A 21,273-nucleotide genomic window follows, 5' to 3' on the forward strand; every position below is an offset into this window, starting at 1 on the left:
CCTAGTTCAGGAGTTGGCATAATACATACTCAGTAACTGTGGTAAGCTGATCTCTTCACCCTTTCACTCAGTAAGTAGTATCAAGCAATGGCGAGACAATGGCTGAATAATAATGGTATCTACTGATGAAAAAAAAGAAATGAGGTTTCTCAGAGTTTAGAACCCCATTTCCCCGCACAGCCTTAGCTGGGTTTCTGGGTCTTGCTTACACTTCTAAGTTGTCCATTTCTTTCCTGAGAAAAAAATTTTTTTTTCAAAAGTTGGTACATTCTAGAAAATGCTAGAAAGCAGGGCTGTTTGAATCACTAGAAAAGTTACATGTGGGCTGGGCGCAGTAGCTCATGGCTGTAATCCTAGCACTTTGGGAGGCCAAGGCGGGTGGATCACTTGAGGTCAGGAGTTCAAAACCAGTCTGGCCAACATGGTGAAACCCCATCTCTACTAAAAATACAAAAAAAAAAAAAAAATTAGCTGAGCGTGGTGGTGGACGCCTGTAAACCCACCTACTCAGGAGGCTGAGGCAGGAGAATTGCTTGAACCCGAGAGGCAGAGGTTGCAGTGAGCCAAGATCGCGCCATTGCACTCCAGCCTGGGTGACAGAATGAGACTCTGTCTCAAAAAAAGTTACATGTGAGCCTTCCAGAGAGGCTTGTCTAGACATTTGTCACTATGAGTTTCCCTTCAAACTTACAAGCTATTATGGTAAAAATGCAAACAAAAACACTCTGATATTCTGTGGTTTTTTAAAGTACTGCCATTTTACATGAAATAAATATGTGATATAGAATGTTTACAAAGTTATTAAATGAGATTTGTTAAGTTTCAGTACCAAATTACAATAGTAATTACAAATTATTAAGCATCTACTATCTTTCAGGTAACGAATGGGCCACATGCCTTATAAACATGTCATTTAATTCTCACAAAAATCCTGAAAGGATTCAGGCTCACTTTACAACAGAAGAAAATGAAATTCATGAAGATCAAGGTAATTTGCCCAAAATCCCACAGCTTTTGAGCACTGAAACCCAGTCTGAACTCTATAGACCTTGTGCTCTTAACAATCATGGTGCAGTGCTGGGTATTTTTTTAAAAATCTTGAAACCATTTCTAAACATAAAATTAATAGACAATGTAGTCAGTATCAGTCTGCTAGATCCATATTGCTAAAAGCATTACAAGCTCACGCGCTCTTGTAATACCTACTTATGAATCCAACTATAGCTCAGACTAACATCTTTAGGATTTTAAACTGCTAGTGCTCAGGTCTATCTTCACTTACCTGGGGTGGGGGGCAAGAAGAGCTGCCTTTATAAGCAGGCCATTCAATAATATTTATTGATTGTTCACCATGGGACATAACTGGGCCAGGTGCTGGGAATAAAATAAACAAAACAGATATGATCCCTTCCCTTATGGAGCTTATAGTCCAGTAGGGGAAAGAGTAAATAAGAGAGCAGGCTGCTATATGTAGGCAAACAAAAGGATATAGTTTATATTAAAAGGTCAGGATAGGTCTTTCTCAGAAATAACTTGAAGGCTAAGCTGGATTTGGAATATATGTGTTCGGAGGAGAAAGGGACTAGAGAGCATTTCAGGCAAGGAAGCTGTGTAAAGACCTGCAGCAGACCGGGCGCGGTGGCTCACGCCTGTAATCCCAGCACTTTGGGAGGCCGAGGCGGGCGGATCACGAGGTCAGGAGATCGAGACCATCCTGGCTAACACAGTGAAACCCCGTCTCTACTAAAAAACACAAAAAATTAGCCGGGCGTGGTGGCGGGCGCCTGTGGTCCCAGCTACGCGGGAGGCTGAGGCAGGAGAATGCCGTGAACCCGGGAGGCGGAGCTTGCAGTGAGCCGAGATCGCGCCACTGCACTCCAGCCTGGGCGACAGAGCGAGACTCCGTCTCAAAAAAAAAAAAAAAAAAAAAAAAAAAAAAAAAAAAAAGACCTGCAGCAGGAATGAAATACTCCAAAAAGTCTAAACATGAATTTGATCCTGCCCTCTTAGTATCAGTATCTCCTATAAATTTTCTGAGAAGAAAGTGCAAGGGGAAGAAAGGTGGCTCCAGAAACATCCAGAGATTAGCCATTCCCCTATAAGTCAGTAAGAACGCCATTTGAGGAAGTTGGGTCTAGAAGATCTAGACTATTAAACAATATCTGGGAAACAGTGGACTGCAGGCTGTTCTGGCACACAACAGCAGCCAAGAGGCATGCCAAATATATAATCTGAAAAACTTACGATTCTTTAAAAAATGCTTATGATGGAAATGCATAGCATTCTATGGGAGGAATTTAAAACTCAATTATTTAGGTGAATCTTAGCCTTCAAATGTAACAAAATATAGGTATTGAGAAGTTTAAAATTTCATATTAAGAATGAAAACTTGACAGGAGTGATGGCTGGTACCTGTAATACCAGCTACTTGGCAGGCTGAGGTGGGAGAATTGCTTGAGGTCAAGAGTTTGAGACCAGCCTGGGCAACATAATGAGACCTAATTTCTCTCTCTCTCTCTCTCTCTCTGTTTTTTTTTGGGACAGAGTGAGACTCTGGAGTGCAGTGGCATGATCATGGTTCACTGTAGCCTCGACATCCCGGGCTCAAGTGATCCTCTCACCTCAGCCTCCCAGGTAGCTGGGACTAGAGGCTCACAAGCCACCATGCCCAGCTAATTTTTAAAAAATTGTTTGTAGAGATGGGGTTTCACCATGTTACCCAGACTGGTCTCAAACTCCTGGGCTCAAGCCATCTGTTTGCCTCAGCTTCCCAAAGTGCTAGGATTACGGTCCTGAGCCATGGTGCCCCCCAGTATCTTTTTAAAAAGAAAGAAAGAAAGAGGCCAAGTGTGGTGACTCATGCCTCTAATCCCAGCACTTTGGGAGACTGAGGCAGGGAGATTGCTTTTGAGCTCAAGAGTTCGAGGCCAGCCTGGGCAACATTGTGAAACCCTGTGCCTACAAAAAATACAAAAAGTTAGCCAGGCATGGTGGCGAGTGCCTATAGTCCCAGTTACTCGGGAGGCTGAGGTGGGAGGATTGCTTGAGCCCAGGAAGCAGAGGTTTGCAGCGAGCCAAGATTGAGCCACTGCACTCTAGCCTCGGCAACAGAGTAAGACCCTGTCTCAAAAAAAAAAAAAAAAAAAAAAAAAGAAACAAAAGGAAAGAAAAATCTTCTTAAAACATTAATCTAATCTAATTATGACACTATCTTGTTTACTTCAACAACTTCCTCACTGTTTTGGGCAAGAATTCAAACTCTTTCGTCTGATATCTGGCTCTTCTCCAGTCCTATCTGCTTCTCTGCCTCCTATATTCACACTCCAGCTATAGAAAGTTACCAGTATACATCATACTTTTTCAGAGGATAAAGGATCCAGCTTAAAGGACTTCCATTGGCCAAACTGACAATTTAAGCATGAAAACATTTAAAAATGGATGGTAGGTAGCTAATAGTTACAGTTAATTTAAAATAGAATTATGTTGTAAATATAGTTAACAAGAGTATTGTACATTTCAAAATTGCTAAGAGAGTAAATTTCAAATGTTCTCACCATGAAAAATGTTAAGTATTTGAGGGATGGATATGTTAACCTGTTTAATTTAATTATTCCACATTGTATACATAAATTATAACATCGCTTTGTATCCCATAAATTTATACAATTATAAATTGTTAAATTTACAATAAAAGAAAAGGAATTGTGAAAATCTGTGCATTTATAATGATACTTAAGACATAAAAACTATATATAAAGTGTATTAAAAAGTTTTATCAATGCCTATGAAAAGGGAGAAAATTTAAAGAAAAGTTCTAATGACAAGAAGAATAAGTTGATTTTTTAATTGATTTTTATAAATAGAGTACAAAGGAAACAAAAAAATTAATTATGAAACATATATCTGTTTATAAAATCTGGTTATATATTTATTTCTATCTGTGTAGGCAGAAAAGAATGAATACAGGGAATTGTAAGTAAACCAGACCTTGCAAAAGCAGAAACTATATGAAGAACAAAAAGACTGATCAGCATGAGTATCATCACATAACAATAATGTAGAAAAAGTATCCAACAATTAATCTGCACCAGTGATCATCTGAACACAAAAAGCAACTAGAAACAAGTTTCAATGTTATACTGGAAAATTATAATTTAACCAAACGTCCTAAAATATTAACTAGATTATTCAAATCCTAAGTATGAAGGCTCTCAGTGGCTCTATTAATAATAGTAAGAAATTAATAAGCTATACATAGTCTAATAATTGTAACAAAATATGCCAACATATAATAATGACAAAATAGTGGGTTACATAATGCTGGCAAAGCAAAACCTAAAGAATACATCATTCCAGAGGAAAACTTCAAGGAAAAAAACACATCATTCAGGAAAATTTAAACCCATAAAAGGACTACTAGAATCCTAGGAAAATAAGTATCAAAATAAGTATGTTACAATCAAAATAAGTATGTTATAATCCTAGGAAGATAAGCATGATTAACAACTATCAGCTGGGCACAGTGGCTCATGCCTGTAATCCTAGCACTTTGGGAGACAGAGGCAGGTGGATCACGGGGTCAAGAGATAAGTAAGAGACCATCCTGGCCAACATGGTGAAACCCCGTCTCTACTAAAAATACAAAAATTAGCTGGGTGTGGTGGCATGTGCATGTAGTCCCAGCTACTCGGGAGGCTGAGGCAGGTGAAGTGCTTGAACCCGGGAGGTGGAGATTGGAGTGAACCGAGATGGTGCCACTGCACTCCAGCCTGGCAACAGAGCGAGTCTCCATCTCAAAAAAAAGAAAGAAAAAGAAAAAGAAAAAGAAACAACTATCACATTTATTGGTCATTTAGGGTGACTGAAGCATTGAAAGAACCAGCCATACTAAATTTGTGATAGTAACTTTAATTCCTTTTCTCCCCCCACCGAGATGGAGTCTTGCTCTGTTGCCTAGGCTGGAGTGCAGTGGCGTGATCTCGGCTCACTGCAACCTCCCCTTCCTGGGTTCAAGCAATTCTCCTCCCTCAGCCTCCTGAGTAGCTGGGATTACAGGCACACGCCACCACGCCCAGCTAATTTTTGTATTTTTAGTAGAGATGGGGTTTCACCATGTTGGCCAGGCTGGTCTCAAACTCCTGACCTTGTGATCCCCCTGCCTCGGTCTCCCAAAGTGCTGGGATCACAGGTGTGAGCCACCGCACCTGGCCTATTTTTAAAAGTTAATTTTAAATTGGATTTTTGTTTGTTTGTTTCTTAGATATACGTATTCAATTATTTGAGCCTTAAATACAATGCAAATAGTTCTGAATGTTCCTCTCTGCATACAAAAGGACATTAAAGAATCTAATCAATAGTTCTAAGCATTTTCCATTCAGGGACTGTGTCTTATTTGACTTTATGTCATCAACTCCTAGCACAGAATCTGTGATGTATAGTAGATTCTTAATAAATGTTTTTTCAGGGAAAGCATGAGTGAGAATAATAATTACGAAAACTCAACAAACAAAACAAACTCCAATCTTCCTTACCTGCTTTTTTTTTCCCCTTTTGACCGGGAACAGGTTCTATGCTATCTTGGCCTTTTCTCATCAACATAGCAAGTGATGCATCATAAGCTCTAAACAGGTCCACAACCTCATGTAAGGCAACGTCTGTTATCAGATCACAGCTCAGCACCAGCACATCTGTCTGTTAAATGGAGATGGGAAAAGTCAATATCATAAAGGACAATGGATTACACAAATCATCACAAGACAAAATTAGGATGGCTTAAAACCACACAAATCAGACAATACTCTTCAAGCATTTTTCATAGCCAAACAAGTAAAATAAATGGGGTTGTTCTCATTGAATTGTGCTGGTATAGGGTCTGGAAACTCTACCTCTCCCTTGTGTACCTCAGGAACTGTGTGGGCAGTCCCTGAGACATCTCTGGAACCCTAGGTTCTAAGAAACAGTCTGAAAACCACCACATTGTCTATTTCTATGACTATGGAATATATGATCTTATATTTATACATCTCTTTATAGTTTAAAAGAGCATTTTCACATAGTTTGATGACTTAATATGGCAAAGAACAATCACTTTACTACAGTACTAGGAAATAACAGGATGAACAGAATACAATGCTTCATTCTTAGGAACTTAACATTCTATAGTAAATAATTACAATGTAACCTCAGGTATGTACAAGGCACCCATTCAATCTTATAAAAATAGCATAAGAATGACAGAAAGGCATTGTTATTATTAATATTACTGGCCTCTATTTTTATAGCTGAGAAAAATAAGGCCTGTTACCAGTGTCTGACACACAGTTGGTATTTAATAATTGTTTAACAAATGAATGAATAAATCAACGAAGAAAAGGTTTTCTCTTATTGGTGGGCTTTCTGATTTTATATATATATATATATATATATATATATATATATATATATTTTTTTTTTTTTTTTTTTTTTTTTTTCCAGACAGGGTCTTACTCTGTCACCTAGACTGGAATGCAGCGGTGCGGTCACAGCTCACTGCAGCCTCGACCTGCCAGGCTCAAGTCATCCTCCTGCCTCAGCCTCCCAAGTAGCTGGGACTACAGGTATGTACCACCACACTTGGCTAATTTTTACATTTTTTGTAGAGATGGTGTCTCCCTATGTTGCCTAGGCTAGTCTCAAACTCCTGGGTTCAAATGATCCACTCACCTCGGCCTCCCAAAGTGTTGGGATTATAGGCATGAGCTACCATGCCTGATTATAATTCTAATATCTCAGATTAATTATAATAAAAACTAACAATGATAACTAATGTTTACTGAATGCTTACTATTGGCCAGGAATTGTGATAACACTTTGCAAACATTATTTATTTTATTTTATTTTATTTTATTTATTTATTTTTTGAGACAGAGTCTCCCTCTGTTGCCCAAGCTGGAGTGCACTGGCAAGATCTCGGCTCACGGCAAGCTCCGCCTCCCGGGTTCATGCCATTCTCCTGCCTCAGCCTCCTGAGTAGCTGGGACTACAGGCGCCCGCCACCACGCCCGGCTAATTTTTTTTGTGTTTTTAGTAGAGACGGTGTTTCACCGTGTTAGCCAGGATGGTCTTGATTTCCTGACCTCGTGATCCACCTGCCTTGGCCTCCCAAAGTGCTGGGATTACAGGTGTGAGCCACCACGCCCGGCCTTATTTTTTATTTTAATTTTATTTTTAAATTAAAAAAAAAATAGAGACAGGGTCTCACTATGTTTCTCACTATGTAGTCCAGGTTGGTCTTGAACTGGTGGGCTCAAACAATCCTGTCTCAGCCTCCCAAAGTGCTGAGATTACAGGTGTGAGCCACCACGCCTGGCCAAAAACATATTTCAATCTTCACAACAACCATATGCAGGAAGAACTATCTATATCTATATCTATATCTATATCTATATCTATATCTATATCTATATCTAAATTTTTGTTTTTTTGAGACAGGGTCTTGTTCTGTTACCCAGGCTGGAGTGCAGTGGCATGATCATGGCTTACTGCAGCCTCGACTTCCTGGGCTCAAGTGATCCTCCCACCTCAGCCTCCCTAGTAGCTGGGACTACAGGCGTGCCCCACCACACCTGGCTAATTTTTATTTTTATTTTTAGTAGAGACAGGGTCTTCCTATGTTTCCCAGGCTGGACTCGAACTCCTGGACTCAAGCAATTTGCCCACTTTGGCCTCCCAAAGTGCTAGGAGTACAGGCGTGAGCCACCGCGCCTAGCCCAGAGCTGTTATTATTAGCACTTTACCAACGAAGAAACAGATTTATAGTAGTTATGTAACTAAGATTTAACAATTAGTAATGGCTATTTGTATAACTAAAGAATCTGTATTACTGAATAGTGTTAAAGAAATATAGTTTAGGCTGGGCGCAGTGGCTCATGCCTGTATCCCAGCATTTTGGGACGCCAAGGTGGGCGGAGTGCCTGAGTTCAGGAGTTTGAGACCAGCCTGAGCAACACAGTGAAACCCTATCTCTACTAAAATACAAAAATTAGCCGGGCATGGTGGCACATGCCTATAGTCCCAGCTACTCGGGAGGCTGAGGCAGGAGAATTGCTTGAACCCAGGAGGTGGAAATTGCAGTGGGCCGAGATAGCACCACTGCACTCCAGCTTGGGTGACAGAGCAAGACTCTATCTCCAAAGAAAGAAAAAAAAGAAACATAGTTTAGGGCCAGGCACAGTAGCACATGCCTGTAATCCCAGAGGTGCCTCAGGGAAAGGCAGGTTCTGATTTGCCCTTCGTGAATCAACCAAGGCAGCTCCTCTTTTATTAATTTTATTTTCCAGGCTTCTGGATAAGCTTTGTCTTGGAAAACCAATTATGCTACTTTAAAAAAGTCTAGGCTGGGCAGAGTGGCTCACACCTGTAATCCCAGTGCTTTGGGATGCCAAGGCAGGAGGACTGCATGAGCCCAGGAGTTCAAGGTTAGAGTGAGCTATGATCACATCACTGCACTTCTGCCTGGGTGACAGTGCAAGATGCTGTCTCAAAAAAAAAAAAAAAAGGCCTGGCACAGTGTCTTGCACCTGTAAGCCAAGCTACTCTGGAGGCTGAGGCAGGAGCATCACTTGAGGCCAGGAGTTTGAGGCCAGCCTGAACAACACAGTAAGACCCCATCTCTAAAAATACATAAAACATTTTTTAAATTAGCAAATAAAATTTTTTAAAAGTTAGCCAGGTGTGGTGGCATGCACTTATAGTCCCAGCTACTTGGGAGGCTGAGGCAAGAGGATTGCTTAAACCTCAGAGGAGTTCAAGACTCTAGTGAGCTACAATTACTCCACTGGATTCCAGCCTGGGTGACAGAGTGAGGCCTTGTCTCAAATAAATAAATAGTCTGGAAAACATTGGACCAAATTATTTTGGGTTCAAGAATGAAGTGAGTCTACATGTATTTTTTTTTTTGTAAGTACTCCAAACTTTCCTAATATTTTAATTTAAAATCATGATTCCTGGTTTGGGTGGGAAAATGGATGATTTCAACTCATAGTCTACCAAATCAAAGAGTCTTGTTTGCTCAGAAAGTGAGACTCAACCATCAGAATGCCTTATGTTACTGCCTGAAATTTCTTATTCTGAATATAGAATCTGCAACAGAATCACCATTTCTTTTTCCACATGTAACTTGTTATTTATAGCCTGAACAATTTCTTTTGAAGGCCTTTTAAAGTTAAGCTCAAATTCGGATTGTTTCCTACTCTTCTGCTTAAGGCTCTCTAAATTCTTTTTAGATTTTAACTCTGAGACTAAAAAAAAAAAAAGTTCCCACTGGGCGCGGTGGCTCACACCTGTAATCCCAGCACTTTGGGAGGCCGAGGCGGGTGGATCACAACGTCAGGAGATCGAGACCATCCTGGCTACCATGGTGAAACCTCGTCTCTACTAAAAGTACAAAAAATCAGCAGGGCGTGGTGGCAGGCGCCTGTAGTCCCAGCTACTCGGGAGGCTGAGGCAGGAGAATGGCATGAACCCAGGGGGCGGAGCTTGCCGTGAGCCGAGATCGCGCCACTGCACTCCAGCCTGGGTAACAGCGCAAGACTCCGTCTCAAAAAAAAAAAAAAAGTTCCCATAAACATCTCTTTAGGAAAAAAAAAAACCCTACACCTGCAACTCACCATGCAGGAAGCAGCAAACGTGAACAAATCAGACCACATACATACAAACTAAAGAAACAGCCTGCAGAATCCTACTTAGAACAATGCTTAGAAAGACAAGGAGACAAATCATTACTAAAGACATTCACAGAGTTGTCATTACAACAGTACAGAAGTTGCCCCATTTCATCAGAATGAAAATGACAATTTGCTGAGGAAAAAAATCCCCTTTCTATTTTTCTAAGTTTCTCTAATAAGATGGCTGTTTTTTTGCAAGTTTACTGATCTACAATAAATTGAACTATTAAGTATACTCCAAAATCAAGAAAATGACTCCAATGCAGATGCCTCAGAAGTGGTAACAATGTTGTCTTGGCAAATAAATGCTGTTATCATTCGATATCTGCAAAAGTGTTTAAATCTGTCAGTACAGTGAATGCCAAACAAGTCCTGCATAATTGTGAACAGGCTGTAGGCTCATTTCTCTCTTTGCGTTTTGATGACTTTTTGCTAAACTGAATGCAAAATCCCCAAGGATCACAAGGAACAGACCCCTCCACTCAATGTCTGGTTGCCATCTGTTCTTAGTGTGAAAAGAAAGGCGTGGGTCTGAAAGAACAGGGCCTAGCATACAGACGGAGGTGCTGTTCCATCAGCCCCTCTCCTGCCTCTGTTCCCAGAGAATGCACCATGTAAGAGTCACTGAGACCAAACACATCTCATCCTCTGTGCAACTCCATCACTTCCAAAGGAAAGTGTTTGTTGTCTGATCAATTTCCAAAGCTGGAAATCTCAGAAGAAGAAAGAAAGGAAAGCTAAATCACACTTATACCTTCATAATACCTTTTTTTTTTTGAGACAGGGTCTCAGTCTGTTGCCCAGGCTGGAGTGCAGAGGTGTGATCATAGCTCACTGTAACCTCAAATTCTTGGACTCAAGCATCCTACCACCTCGGCTTCCTAAGTAGCTGGGACTACAGGCACCACATGCCACTATGTCCACTAATTTTAATTTCTTCTTCTTCTTCTTTTTTTTTTTTTTTTGTAGAGACGGGATCTCACTATGTTGCCAGGGCTGGTCTCAAACTCTTAGGCTCAAGTGATCTTCCTGTCTCAGCCTCCCAAAGTGCTGGAATTACAGGCATAAGCCACTGAGCCTGGCCTGATTTTATAAACGCTGTAACAGAAAGAAATGATCATTGTTTTTATTTTTATTCTAAAATGTAAAGCCCATTCTAGGAATGCAAATGGCTTTCTAGTAACTGGAGCCCAGAGAGAGAAAGTAGAAAAACTGATAAGACCCAGAGAAGTATTTTTGATCATGTGTGACCACAAGCCATGAATAAACATGGACTGTTTGGACTGTGAAGCAACTGTGTGTCAGAAATGCAGTTAATTTTAAAGTTCCCTGAACATGCCAACACTCAGCTGCCTTTGTTTCATGGACCCACTTCTTTTCTAATGCCAACAGTATGCCTCTTCTGCAGAGACCAACTGGCCTCTCCAAAGATCTCCCTACTCACTATTCCAACAGTCATTGGTATGCCTCATCCCAAGCCTGCTCCTCTAGAGAAGCCAGGGCAATGTCAAGGGCAGAAAGCACAACTCAGAAGGAAAGCAGATGTGTGCACTCTTGACAATATAGAAACATGCAAGGTTTCAAGGGAAGGCAGCACTTTAGTGTTTAAAGTGTCCAAAACACCCAGGAATTCAAAATCCAAACTGCTGCCAGTTAGTCTTGACTAAAGTAAACAAATTAAGCTCAGAAAACCCAATTACCAAGCCATGGCAAAGCCCAGAAATCTCTCATTACAAGAACATTTTCGATCAAGCCAAAACCACTGAGTAAAATTAGAGGGGAAAAAAGGTTAAATCAGAAAACCGGATGTGTGTGTGTGTGGCTGTAGTGGTGGGGCGGGAGGTGAGGAGAGCTACTGGGAATAGCCTCTTTTCTTTTCCTGGCAGCTGTTCCATGACAGATTGTTATAAATAACACAATCTGGCAACCGATTTCTTATGACAAGGAGAAAGAAAAACACATTTACTCCCTTGGAAAAAAACTGTCAGGGCAAGGTAACTACCATGCTTCTCTACTCACCCAGTGCTTCCACAAATAATGGCTATGATCCAAATCACCAGCCTGCATGCCACCCCTGCCCATATGGAACTCATGAATTCAGCTACTTGGTGTGACTATGAAGGTCACATTTTACATTTTCCTATGTGGTCCAATCCCAGTCAAATCCCCAAGAGTAGTTTGTGTGCTTTTTCTTTTCTTTTCTTTTTTTTTAGACAAGGGGTCTCCCTATATTGCCCAGGCTGGTCTCAAACTCCTGGACTCAAGCAATCCTCCTGCCTCAGCCTCCCAAAATGCTGGGATTACATGCATGAGCCACTGCACCTGGCATAGTTTGTGTGCTTGAATAAACACCAAAGGCTAACTGCAATGGAGACCTCAGTTTTGGTTTAAAATGCTTGGAAAAGATTCCAGTCTATAGTCCTCAAAGTGCAAGGCCAAGGGCCAACTGCCACATTGTTTTCACTGAGGTTGGGGCAGTAGCTCTAGGAAGGGAAATGACCAACTCAGTCAGTAAGTAAGAAATGTGATAATCCTTGGGCTCACAGCTAAATATCCTTACTATATTCCTTAGTTTAATCATGCTGTTGCTACCATCCAGAATCTGATGCCAGAAATCCGCCCATAGTCCAGGATGGAAGTCCTTCCTCTCCTGCCCTGTCCCCTACTCTTCCCCTATTGCACTGCCTTAGTTCAGGTCTCAAAATCTTCTTCCAGTCTCTTGGCTGGTGTCTCTCTTGCTCCAGTTTTCCCTTATTCTAATCCATACTCTAATTTCTACTGCATATGTCTTTTCCCTGCTCAAAGACACCCTAAAACAGTGTTTTCCAAACATCAAAAAAGTTGAACTTATTGCCACTTACCTTAAAATTTTTAAAAAAATATATAGATCACTATAATATGATATGCTCTTTATATAATATATATAAAGATAGACATTTAAAAAGGAATAAATAAAACATTTAAAAACAAGAAATTCTAACATTTTCCTCTGGTACTTAATTCTGTACACCACCTGGCTTTGAGTACAGCCTATTTTGGAGATTGCTGCTCAACAAGATTAAGTTGGAATTCCTTAGCATGATTTTAAGGGTCTTCAAAATATGACTCCACCTACCTAATTCAGTCTTCTCTCCCCCAACTCCCCTCCACATAGCCAATGTTAACTTTTTCTTTTCTTTTCTTTTCTTTTTTTTTGAGAAAGAGTCTCGCTCTATTGCCCAGGCTATTGCCCAGGCTGGAGTAAAATGGCACGATCACGGCTCACTGCAACCTCCGCCCCCCGAGGTTCAAGCAATTCTTGTGCCTCAGCCTCCCAAGTAGCTGGGATTACAGGTACATGCCACCATGCCCAGCTAATTTTTACATTTTTAGTACAGACAGTGTTTCGCCATGTTGGCCAGGCTAGTTCTCAAACTCCTGACCTCAAGTGATCCTCCTGCCTTGGCTTCCTCAGGTGCTGGGATTACAGGCATGAGCCACTGCACCTGGCCGCCAGTGTTAATTTGATAGAGTCGACTGCCAAGAATGTATACCCTAGTCTGTCTTCCTACTCTATTATATATTTATCCATCAAAATTCAGGTCTTGTCACAGTTACTAGAAAGGGCAGAGCCGATATATTATCTCCCCTAGAGATGATGCATTTTCTGATCCATTACAGACCTTAAATCACTAATTGGATTACATATATATTTTTTCCATCTAGACTTTGAGCTCCATAAGGAGCCCTTTTATCTTTGTATATTCAGAGTTCAACCTAGTGCTGGCAAACACGCATGAGTAAATGTTAGTACTTTTCCTGTTATCTCCTTCTCTTTGTTTAATTTGACTCAAATATTAAAACATCTGATTTTAAATGTTTAGAAACAGTATACATTCTGACAGAGGTGAATGCTCCCTTTGTAGAGACTGACTGTTCAGAGTTAGGACAGGGGCCACAGAGACAACTTTGCAGTTCCCTAATGCAAGAAGGTAGGAAATGAACCTGCTACTACCAAAGAAGCAAAAGGCAGAGATGTCTGAAAGGAAAGAAGTCAAAAGCAGCTGTCCTGGAGGGCACGGCTGAAGAATGATGATATGCTTGCTAGATTTACAACTTAAAATGAAGGCTCAACATTTATGGTTCTAATATTCATAATTCATTCACGTCCTCCAAGGAAATTTTCCTCTTCAGATTAAGAACAAATAGAGGAATTATATTCTTCCTTACTGTGTGAAGCTAGGAAAGAAGCACCTATATTAATTTTTAATTATGTTCAAATGAGTTCCCTATAAAAATGCCTGTCACGTCTCTTCTAGGATTTAGATATATGCAATTTAATTTTCATCTCTAAATGCACTGACTTGGAATAGAAAAAAACAAGAGATTTTTTTTGTTCTCCCAAATCAAACTTTCACTCTAAAGGGAAGTTCATAACAATGAGAAAAAATACAACTAATAAATCTTTTTAAAACTTAGGGTTGGCTGAGCACAATGGCTCATGCCTGTAACCCCAGCATTTTGGGAGGCCAAGGTGGGAGAACTGTTTGAGGCCAGGAGTTTGAAACCAGCCTGGGCAACATAGCGAGACCTTATCTCTACAAAAAATTTTAAAAATTAGCCAGGCATGGTGGTGCATGCCTGTAGTCCCAGCTACTTGAGAGGTTGAGGCAGGAGGATCATTTGAGCCCAGGTTTCAGGCTGCAGTAAGCTATGATTGTGCCATTGCACTCCAGCACCCGTGACAGAGTGAGATCGTGTTTCTAAAAAACAAACAAACAAAACAGAAAATTCAAGAAGTAACAATTTTAGCATGTTATTTAGAGACATACAGATAAAAAACAAAGTAGCTAAAAGAAGAGAACCTTTCGGGTTAGGGATATGGGGTGGGGGTGGTCAGGGGACTAATATTTTTAGGAACAAAGCTTGAACTATTGAATTATTTAAATTATTAAATTATTAATTTATTAAATGATATTGAATTATTTAAATGATATATACATATAACTTCAATAAGTATAAGGTGTTTATTTATTTATTTATTTTTTGAGACAAGAGTCTTGCTCTATCGCCCAGACTGGAGTGCAATGGTGCGATCTTGGCTCACTGCAACCTCCACCTCTGGGGTTCAAGCGATTCTTGTGCCTCAGCTTCCAGAGTAGCTAGGATTACAGGCATGTGTCACCACACCTGGCTGATTTTTGTATTTTCAGTAGAGACAGGATTATGCCATGTTGGCCAGGCTGGTTTCAAACTCCTAGCCTCAAGTGATCCACCCACCTTGGCCTCCCGAAGTGTTGGGATTACAGGCGTAAGCCACTGCACCTGACCAGTATGAGTTTTTTAAAAAAGACATTAGGACTATTTTCTTATCTCTGTTTTTTAAAAAAATTACTTCAGTGACTTTAACATCCTTATGGCTGAGACTCCATGACCTCATCACGTTCAATTATTTTTTTTCTCCTTCTCGCCTTAGTCACTCAACCACTTTGTTATACTCTACTCCTTGGCATTACCAAAAATTGCACCAACTCCAAAATCTCACTTTAAAATATCATATTAATTCATGTGACACACATATATTGAACCCTGAATATGGCCAGGCATTATAGAGATACAGCAATGAACAAACAAACAAAAATCCCTGACCTCAAAAAGCTTACATCCTATTGTCTGATCACCACCTTCTATTTTTCCAACTCACTGACTTTTTACTCTGGCTCCAGCAATTCTGATTCTAACAGGATCCTCAATCCATTTGTTACACTGATTTATAGCACCCTAATTCCTTTGGTGGTCTCGTTTACACAGCTTATGTGGTCCATCACTATAAATACTCCTTAATATACATCACTGTCTTCCTTACTACTCTCATCCCTTGTACTCACCAGGTAAAGATGCTAGTTATATCCTAACTCTCTGCCTACTTTGCATATGAACCCAAGAAGCTAAACATGGATAGAAAACTGGTAACAGCATTGGCTAGTCTCCTTTTAAACTGATAACCCAAATCTCAAGGGGATCCTTCACACTGTCCAGCAATACATTTCCTAGCCAATTAACTTTTACATTCTCAGAGATAATTTCATATATTCTCATCCTTCCTTAAAACTTCAGCAGCTTCTCCCTTCCTCTTTTTTTTTTTTTTGAGACGGGGTCTCGCTCTGTCACCCAGGCTGGAGTGCAGTGGCTCAATCTCAGCTCACTGCAGCCTCCGCTTCACAGGTTCAAGCAATTCTCCCACCTCAGCCTCCCGAGTAGCTGGGATTACAGGGGCGCACCACCATGCCTGGCTAATTTTTTTTTTTTTTTTTTTTTTTTTTGAGACGGAGTCTCGCTCTGTTGCCCAGGCTGGAGTGCAGTGGCGGGAACTCGGCTCACTGCAAGCTCCGCCTCCTGGGTTCACGCCATTCTCCTGCCTCAGCCTCCCAAGTAGCTGGGACTACAGGCGCCCGCCACTACGCCCGGCTAATTTTTTTGTATTTTTAGTAGAGACGGGGTTTCACCGTTTTAGCCAGGATGGTCTCGATCTCCTGACCTCGTGATCCGCCCGCCTCGGCCTCCCAAAGTGCTGGGATTACAGGCGTGAGCCACCGCGCCCGGCCCTAATTTTTGCATTTTTAGTAGAGATGGGGTTTCGCCATTTTGGCCAGGCTGGTCTTGAACTCCTGATCTCAGGTGATCCACCTGCCTCGGCCTCCCAAAGTGCTGGGATTACCAGCGTAAGCCACTGAGCCTGGCCCTACTGACTCTTAACTGGTGGCTTTACATCTTATTTCAATAAGAAAATACAAGCAATTAGAAGCAGCAAACATCTTTCTGACACAAAATTAATTAATCTATATGCATTACATATTATACATTCTGCCTGTACAATAAATTAAATGTCTTTTCTCCAATTTTTTTTTTTTTTTTGAGACAGAGCCTCACTGTCACCCAGGCTAGAGTGCAGTGGCGTGATGTCGGCTCACTGCAAGCTCCGCCTCCCGGGTTCACGCCATTCTCCTGCCTCAGCCTCCCGAGTAGCTGGGACTACAGGCGCCCGCCACCACGCCCGGCTAATTTTTTGTATTTTTAGTAGAGACGGGGTTTCACTGTGTTAGCCAGGATGGTCTCGATCTCCTTACCTCGTGATCCGCCCGCCTCGGCCTCCCAAAGTGCTGGGATTACAGGCATGAGCCACCACGCCTGGCCGTCCTTTCTCCAATTTAAGGGAAACCCATCCACTCGTGCACCAGATCACAGTCCCTCTCATCTACTCTAAAAATGCCACAAGGGCAGGAACTTTGTTTTACTCACTGTTCATCCTAAGCATACATCATACAGTGATTAGTTCCTTGTAGGTAGCAAAAATATAGTTGTTGAATCGAATAATTGAATGCTTTATTTTCTCTATCATCAATTTATTCCTCTCCTCTTTGGGATCACTCCCGTCAGTATAGAACATACAAAAATACCTACCTTAAAAAAAACCCAACTTGCCTCCATAAGTGTAAAAAAAAAAAAAAAACCAGAAAACACACAATTTATTTTTATAAGCTGGGCAAGGAAGCACTTATTTATATCACATTCTTTTATAGGTATGAAATTTTTCATTGAAAAAAAAGAAAAAAAAAAGAACCAGCCTCACTCTGGTCCAATTTCTGGTCCAATTTCTGCCCTGTTTTTCTTCTTCCTTCATATCATAATTTCTCAAAAAAAGTTAGCTGTCTCACTGTCTTCATTTTCTCATTCCTCTCCCATTCTCTCTAATCAGGCTTTTGTCCCTACCACTCCAGCAAGGGTTTAAGTCATCACTGAACCTAACTTGCCAATTCTCTTTATTAATATCAGTTCTTGCCGGGTGCAGTGGCTCACGCCTGTAATCCCAGCACTTTGGGAAGCTAAGGTGTGCATATCACTTGAGCCCAGGAGTTCGAGATCAGCCTGGGCAACATGGCGAAAAAAACACAAAGACTTAGCCATCTCTACAAAAAATACAAAAATTTAGCCAGGTGTGGTGGTGTGTGCCTGTAGTCCCAGCTACCAAGGAGGCTGAGGTGGGAAGACTGCTTGAGCCCAGGAGGTCGAGGCTACAGTGAGCCATGATCACATCACTGCACTTCAGCTTGGGCACTGGAGTGACATTCTGTCTCAAAAATAAATTATTAAAATAACAACAGCATTTACAACAGGCATGTCAGTCACATCAATAAATGGAAATGAGCATAATTCACTCATTGAAAGCAAAAGGTTTTCAATTTGCTTGAAAGTAAAATCTAATTCTATGCTGTATGCAAGAGACAGACCTAAATCAGAGATTTAGAAACGCTAAAAAATTTTTAAAAAGCAAAGATATACCAGGCAAATGGAAACAATAAGAAAGTGATCCTGCTATCAGACAAAGTAGAATTACGCCAAAATCATTAAATAAAACAAAGGTTATTTTATAATGCTAGAAGCCAAAATTAAAAGTGAAAATACAATAGTTCTTCATATCTATGCAGCAAAAAAGACAAAACAACTCATATAAAGCAAAAACATCAGGAGATGAATTACGAAATCAATAGAATTGTCTTGGCTATATGGGCTCTTTTTGGTTCCATATGAAATTTAAAGTAGTTTTTCCTAATTTTGTGAAGAAAGTTAATGGTAGCTTGATTTGAATCTATAAATTACTTTGGGCAGTATGGGCATTTTCACAATATTGATTCTTCCTATCCATGAGCATGGAATGTTTTTCCATTTGTTTGTGTCCGCTCTTATTTCCTTCAGCAGTAGTTTGTAGTTCTCCTTGAAGAGGTCCTTCACATCCCTTGTGAGTTGGATTCCTAGGTATTTTATTCCCTTTTTAGCAATTGTGAATGGGCGTTAACTCATGATTTGGCTGTTTATTATTGGTGTATAGGAATGCTTGTGATTTTTGCACATTGATTTTGTATCCTGAGACTTTGCTGAAGTTGCTTATCAGCTTAAGGAGATTTTGGGCTGGGACGATGGGGTTTTCTAAATACACACCCATGTCATCTGCAAATAGAGACAATTTGACTTCCTCTCTTCCTATTTGAATACCTTTATTTCTTTCTCTTGCCTGATTGCCCTGACCAGAACTTCCAATACTATGTTGAATAGGAGTGGTGAGAGAGGGTATCCTTGTCTTGTGCTGGTTTTCAAAGGGAATGCTTCCAGCTTTTGCCCATTCAGTATGATATTGGCTGTGGGTTTGTCATAAATAGCTCTTATTATGAGATACGTTCCATCAATACCTAGTTTACTGAGAGTTTTTTAGCATGAAGGGGTGTTGAATTTTATTGAAGGCTTTTTCTGCATCTGTTAAGAAATCATGTGGTTTTTGTCATTGTTTCTGTTTATGTGACAGATTATGTTTATTGATTTGCATACGTTCAGCCAGTCTTGCATCCCAGGGATGAAGCCGACTTGATTGTGGTGGCTGGAGGCATCATGCTACCTGACTTCAAACTATACTACAAGGCTACAGTAACCAAAACGGCATGGTACTGGTACCAAAACAGATATATAGACCAGTGGAACAGAGGCCTCAGAAATAACGCCGCACATCTACAACCATATGATCTTTGACAAACCTGACAAAAACAAGAAATGAGGAAAGGATTCCCTATTTAATAAATGGTGTTGGGAAGACTGGCTAGCCATATGTAGAAAGCTGAAACTGGACCCCTTTCTTATACCTTATACAAAAATTAAATCGAGATGGATTAAAGACTTAAACGTAAGACCCAAAACCATAAAAACCCTAGAAGAAAACCTAGGCAATACCATTCAGGAGATAGGCATGGGCAAAGACTCCACGACTAAAACACCAAAAGCAATGGCAACAAAAGCCAAAATTGACAAATGGAATCTAATTAAACTAAAGAGCTTCTGCATAGCAAAAGAAACTATCATCAGAGTGAACAAGCAACCTACAGAATGGGAGAAAATTTTGCAATCTATCCATCTGACAAAAAGGCTAATATCCAGAATCTACAAGGAACTTAAACAAATTTATAAGAAAAAAAAACCCCATCAAAAAGTGGGCAAACGATATGAACAGACACTTCTCAAAAGAAGACATTTATGTGGCCAAGAAACATATGAAAAAAAGCTCATCATCACTGGTCATTAGAAAAATCCCAATCAAAACCACAATGAGATACCATCTAATTTCAGTTAGAATGGCGATCATTAAAAAGTCAGGAAACAACCAGATGCTGGAGAGGATGTGGAGAAACAGGAATGCTTTTACACTGTTGGTGGTAGTGTAAAATAGTTCAACCATTGTGGAAGACAGTGTGGTGATTCCTCAAGGATCTAGAACCAGAAATATACCATTTGACCCAGCAATCCCATTACTGGGTATATACCCAAAGGATTATAAATCATTCTACTATAAAGACACATGCACACGTATGTTTACTGCGGCACTGTTCACAATAGCTAAGACTTGGAACCAACCCAAATACCCATTGATGATAGGCTAGATAAAGAAAATGTGGCACTTATACACCATGGAATACTATGCAGCCATAAAAAAGGATGAGTTCATGTCCTTTGCAGAGACATGGATGAAGCTGGAAACCATCATTCTTAGCAAACTAACACAGGAACAGAAAACCAAACACTGCATGTTCTCACTCATAAGTGGGAGTTGAACAATGAGAACACGTGGACATAGGGAGAGGAACATCACACACCAGGGCCTGTCGGGGGGTGGGGGGACTAGGAGAGGGATAGCATTAGGAGAAATACCTAATGTAGATGTGGGCTGATGGGTGCAGCAAACCACCATGGCACATGTATTCATATGTAACAAATCTGCAACTTAAAGTATAAAAAAAAATCAATAGAAACCACTAATAATAAGGAGCTTTAACACACTACTATTAGTAAAAGATAGATGAAGCAGATAAAAAATAAAAATGGATATAGAAAATTTAAAAATATGATCAATAAGATCTTATGGCTATATATACATATATGTATATATGTGTGTATATAAATTGACTCAGCTTGGGAATTTAGTATATGATAATCGTGAAACTTAAATAACAAGGGCAAAATGAATATTTTAATAAATGGTGATGGGAAACTGAATAAGCATTTGGAAAAAGGATAAAATTAGATTCACTGTTCATACCGTACACAAGACAAACATCAAATGGATCAGAGACCTAAATGTAAAAAAGTGAAACTATACAAGTACTAGAAGGAAACAAAAGTAGGTTTCTCTATAACCTAAATGTGGGAAGAAACTTTCTAATTGTTATTCAAAATCCAGATGAATTAAAGATTGTTAAATTTGACTACATAAATATAAAAACAAGGCTGGGAGTGGTGGCTCATGCCTGTAATCCCAGCATTTTGAGAGACCAAGGTGGGAGGATTACTTGAACTCATGAGTTCGAGACTAGCTAGCCTAGGCAACATCCAGACCCTGTCTCCACAAAAAAGAAAAAAAATTAGCCGGGTATGGTGACGTGTGCCTGTATTTCCAGCTACTCAGGAGGCTGAGGTAGGAAGATCACCTGAGCTCAGGGGATGGAGGCTGCAGTAAGGCGAGATCGTGCCATGGCACTCTAGCCTAGGCGAC

At 40.3% G+C, this 21,273-nt stretch overlaps 1 protein-coding gene across 6 annotated transcripts in view; it reads right to left on the bottom strand.

Annotated features, from left to right (window-relative positions):
* EIF2B3 (eukaryotic translation initiation factor 2B subunit gamma) overlaps positions 1 to 21,273 on the bottom strand; it is a 136,074-nt gene that overhangs the window by 85,453 nt on the left and 29,348 nt on the right. For all 6 annotated transcript variants that reach the window (XM_047433500.1, XM_047433499.1, NM_001261418.2 and 3 more), the window contains one exon: positions 5,532 to 5,691. In XM_047433500.1, coding sequence (XP_047289456.1) covers positions 5,532 to 5,691 — 160 coding nt within the window. The remainder of the gene's footprint in view (positions 1 to 5,531; positions 5,692 to 21,273) is intronic.

This window comes from Homo sapiens, chromosome 1 (genome assembly GCF_000001405.40).
Source record: "Homo sapiens chromosome 1, GRCh38.p14 Primary Assembly".
Lineage (NCBI taxonomy): Eukaryota > Metazoa > Chordata > Mammalia > Primates > Hominidae > Homo > Homo sapiens.